The 4,874-nt window shown below is 45.7% G+C and overlaps 1 annotated feature.

The window, feature by feature from the left end:
* Positions 1,242-1,536: a silencer, noted in NCBI's record as "tiled region #8632; K562 Repressive non-DNase unmatched - State 21:Repr". NCBI's record gives its function as "represses a minimal TATA promoter and a strong SV40 promoter by Sharpr-MPRA in K562 cells {active_cell/tissue: K562}" and the evidence as "EXISTENCE:reporter gene assay evidence [ECO:0000049][PMID:27701403]".

Here is a 4,874-nt window from a genome sequence, read left to right as displayed (position 1 = left end):
TCTACAATTATGCCAACATTTTCTATTTTCCCATTAATCACCCCATTCTATTGAACTCTCCTGTTTCTGCTGTGCTGTGCTCCTCTTGTCTCCCATTGTTCCAGAGGGTAGGAGACAAGAGGAGCAAAACCTCAGCTGGTTTGTTGTGCTCATCAGTGTCCAGACCCTCTTCCTTTCATTGCAGCCTTTTTTATTTCACATTAGTGTTGCTTAAAGTATAAATGAATGTCTTACAGAATATCCTGCCAATGTCCATTTGCATCCTTTGATTTGTGTGATGTCTCAAGGAACCTGCAGTGGGAAAGCAGCACTTGACTTCTCCCATGACTGGATGATCTTCTTTCTGCTTGACGGGACAGCACAGGTTGAGCCAGGAAACTTGGAGTGGCCACAATGCTTCCCGTTCCCCAAAGACAGCTGCTTCACACCCCCATGCACTGTCTCCTGCCTGTTCCTCCTTCACACAGAATCCATGACCTCTGTCCTTTATTTATTCCTAAGTATTTTCTTCTTTTTGCTGCTATTGTAAATGAGATTGTTTTCTTAACTTCCTTTTGGAGAGCTCATTGTTTTTTGTGTAGAAACACCACTTATTTTGGTATGTTGATTTTGTATTGTGCAACTTTACTAAATTCATTCATTAGTTCTAACAGATTTTTTTGGTGAGTCTTTAAAGTTTTCTACATATATGATCATGTCCTCTGCAAACAGAGATCATTTTAATTCTTCCTTTCCAATTTGAATGGCTTTCTTTCCTGGCCTCCATCCTCTATGCCTGGCCTGTTCTTTGGAGAATAGAGTGTAGCCATTCCTGAAGGTCTCCTCTCATTCCTTAAAGCCTCCTCCTCACAGCCCATCTGTTTTGTGTGAAGGAAGGCAGGGGACTGCCAGCTGCCCTGTGTTTGTTTGTTTGTTTTGAGACATGGTCTCATTCTGTTGCCCAGGCTGGAGTGCAGTGCCACAATCACAGCTCACTGCAGCCTCGACCTCTTGGACTCAAGCAATCCTCCCACCTCAGCCCCTCGAGGAGCTGGGACTATAGGTGTGTCCCACCACACCTGGCTAATTTTTGTATTTTTTGTAGAGACCTGGTCTTGCCATGTTCCCCAGGCTGGTCTCAACCTCCTGGGCTCAACCAATCTGCCTGCCTCAGCCTTCCAAAGTGCTGGAATTACAGGTATGAGCCATCGCACCCTGCTGCCCTGTGTTTTAACACCTCCAAAGTATATTATGTAGGACTCACAAATCCAACTTAAAGTACTTTAATCAAAAAAGGGAACTTTGTGGGAAGGGTACTGTGGAAACTCTTGAGAGTCAAGGAAGAGGCCCCAGGAGAAACAGGCATTCTGGAGCACTGCAGGAGTTCTGTCTCTCCTCTCTACTTCTTTTGTCACATCTGTGGCATTTCCCTCATGCTGCAAACTGGTGTCCTTTGCTCCTTGGTCCACAAGGCAGTTTCATGCGCGTCCATGTGAAGAGACCACCAAACAGGCTTTGTGTGAGCAATAAAGCTTTTAATCACCTGGGTGCAGGCGGGCTGAGTCCGAAAAGAGAGTCAGTGAAGGGAGATAGGGGTGGGGCCATTTTATAGGATTTGGGTAGGAAAAGGAAAAAGGGGGGTTGTTCTCTGGCAGGCAGGAGTGGGGTTCACAAGGTACTCAGTGGGGGAGCTTTTAAGCCAGGATGAGCCAGGAGAAGGAATTTCACAAGACAATGTCATCAGTTAAGGCACGAACAGGCCATTTTCACTTCTTTTGTGGTGGAATGTCATCAGTTAAGGCAGGAACCGGCCATCTGGATGTGTACGTGCAGGTCACAGGGGATATGATAGCTTAGCTTGGGCTCAGAGGCCTGACATTCCTGTCTTCTTATATTAATAAGAAAAATAAAATGAAATAGTGGTAAAGTGTTGCGACAGTGAAAATTTTGGGGGATGGTATGGAGAGATAATGGGCGATGTTTCTCAGGGCTGCTTCCAGCGGGATTAGGGGTGGCGTGGGAACCTAGAGTGGGAGAGATTAAGCTGAAGGAAGATTTTGTGGTAAGGGGTGATATTGTGGGGTTGTTAGAAGGAAAATTTGTCATTTAGAATTATTGGTGATGGCCTGGATACAGTTTTGTATGAATTGAAAAACTAAATGGAATAAGAGAAGGAGAAAAACAGGTATAAAAGGTCTAAGAATTGGGACGACTCAGGACATCTGATTAGAGAGTGCCTAAGCAGATTCAGCATAGTCCTGCCAGCAAAGATTATTTATTTACTTCAAGAGTTAAGAGTGGCAGTTTGGGGATAGCACCAGGAGATATCAGCTGTGATGGCTTGGAGAAACAGTGTAAACCGGCAGTGTAAACAAGAGCAGGGCAGGTATGAGTAGTTGAGAATGGTGAATAGGAGTATGACTAGATAGAAGATAGTAGGGATGACAAGTTTTTTGGGGGCACAGTCTAAGTTGGTCTGGTGTCTGGAATGAGACTGGGGCCTAATAAAAAGGAGCATCTATATAGGAGCTCAAATGGGCTGTACCTTGTAGCATTCTGAGGACAGGTCTGACTTCTGAGAAGGGAAAGTCATAAAAGTATTGTCCAGTCCTTTTTAAGTTGGTGGCTGAGCTTGGTGAGGTGTGTTTTTAAAAGACGTTTAGTCCGTTCTACTTTTCCTGAAGACAGAGGACCGTAAGTGATATAAAGGTTTCACTGAATACTAAGAGCCTGAAAAACTGCTTGGCTGATTTGACTAATAAAGGCTGGCCTGTTATCAGACTGTATAGAGGTGGGAAGGCTAAACCGAGGAATTATGTCTGACAGAAGGGAAGAAATGACTGCGGTGGCCTTCTCAGACCCTGTAGGAAAGGACTCTACCTATCCAGTGAAAGTGTCTACCTAGACTAAGAAGTATTTTAGTTATCTGACTCGGGGCATGTTGAGTAAAGCTAATTGGCCAGTCCTGGGTGGGGGCAAATCGTCCAGCTTGATGTGTAGGGAAGGGAGGGGGGCCTGAATAATCCTTGAGGAGTAGTAGAATAGCAGATGGAACACTGAGAAATTATTTCCTTGAGGACAGATTTCCACGATGGAAAGGAAATGAGAGGTTCTAAGAGGCTGGCTAGTGGCTTGTACTATAGCATAGCCTGCCTTTGCTGGTGTGTGGTGATTAGGCCTGGTGGAACTGCCACCAATAAATCAAGCGTGATCAGGGTGAGGAACAGGAAAGAAGGAAATATGGGGAAATGGGGTGAATGTCAGGTGGATCAGAGAGATACAGTCATGGGGGTCAGGTGTGGTATCTGGAATAATGTGGGAGGCCGGATTGAAGTCCGGGCCAGGAACAATGGTAATTGTGGGACTTAACAAAGAGTGAGTACAGCTGAAGGAGCCAGGGAACAGAAAGTATATGAGTCAGGTATGAGGAAGAAAATAGATTTTGGAAGTTATGAGAAATGTAGAGAGTAAGTTGAGCATAATTTGTGATTTTGAGGGCCTCTAAAAGTATTAGGGTGGCAGCAGCCGCTGCACAGAGACATGATGGGTAGGCTAAAACAGTAAGGTCAAGTTGTTTGGACAGAAAGGCTACAGGGTGCAGTCCTGGCTCTTGTGTAGGAATTCTGACTGCACTAACCATGCCTTGGAAGGAAAGGAGTTGTTGTTTTGTAACGGATTGAGGTTTGGGAGATTAATCGGACATGATCAGCAGGGAAAGCACGTGTGTTTTTATGAGAATTATGCCGAGATAGGTAACAGATGAGGATGAAATTTGGGCTTGATTGAAGTAATGGGGGCTGTCTGTGAAGCCTTGAGGCAGTACAGCCCAGGTAATTTGCTGAGCCTAATGGGTGTCAGGGTCAGTCCAAGTGAAAGCGAAGAGAGGCTGGGAAGACAAGAGCAAAGGAATAGTAAAGAAAGCATGTTTGAGATCCAGAACAGAATGATGGATTGTGGAGGGAGGTATTGAGGATAGGAGAGTATATGGGTTTGGCACCATGGGGTGGATAGGCAAAACAATTTGGTTGATAAGGCACAGATCCTGAACTAACTTCTAAGGCTTGTCTGGTTTTGGAATAGGTAAAATGGGAGAATTGTAAGGAGAGTTTATAGGCTTTAAAAGGCCATGCTGTAGCAGGCGAGTGATAACAGGCTTTAATCCTTTCAAAGCATGCTGTGGGATGGTATATTGGCATTGATCGGGGTAAGGGTGATTAGGTTTTAATAAGATGGTAAGGGGTGCATGATGGGTCACCAAAGAGGGAGTAGAGGTATCTTATACTTGTGGGTTAAGGTGGGGGAATACAAGAGGAGGATGCAAAGGAGGCTTTGGATTGGGAATAAGGGCGGCAATGAGATGTAGCTGTAATCCAGGAATAGTCAGGGAAGCAGATAATTTAGTTAAAGTGTCTCGGCCTAATAAGGGAACTGGGCAGGTGGGGATAACTAAAAGGAGTGCTTAAAAGAGTATTGTCTAAGTTGGCACCAGAGTTGGGGAGTTTTAAGAGGTTTAGAAGCCTGGCTGTCAATACCCACAACAGTTATGGAGGCAAGGGAAACAGGTCCTTGAAAAGAAGGTAATGTGGAGTGGGTAGCCTCCGTATTGATTAAGAAGGGGACGGACTTACTTCCCACTGTGAGAGTTACGTGAAGCTCGGCTTCCGTGATGGTCTAGGGGGCTTCTGAGGCGATCAGGCAGTGTCAGTCTTCAGCCACTAAGCCGAGAAGATATGGGAAGGAGTCAGTCAGAGAGCCTTGGGCCAGAGTTCCAGGGGCTCTGGGAGTGGCTGCCAGGTGAGTTGGACAGTCCGATTTCCAGTGGGGTCCCACACAGATGGGACATGGCTTAGGAGGAATCCTGGGCTGCAGGCATTCCTTGGCCTGGTGGCCAGATT

The sequence above is a fragment of the Homo sapiens genome, chromosome 4 (assembly GCF_000001405.40).
Source record: "Homo sapiens chromosome 4, GRCh38.p14 Primary Assembly".
Taxonomy (NCBI): domain Eukaryota; kingdom Metazoa; phylum Chordata; class Mammalia; order Primates; family Hominidae; genus Homo; species Homo sapiens.
The sequence above is the reverse complement of the archived record's forward strand: the minus strand, read 5'-3'. Positions and strand labels throughout refer to the sequence as shown.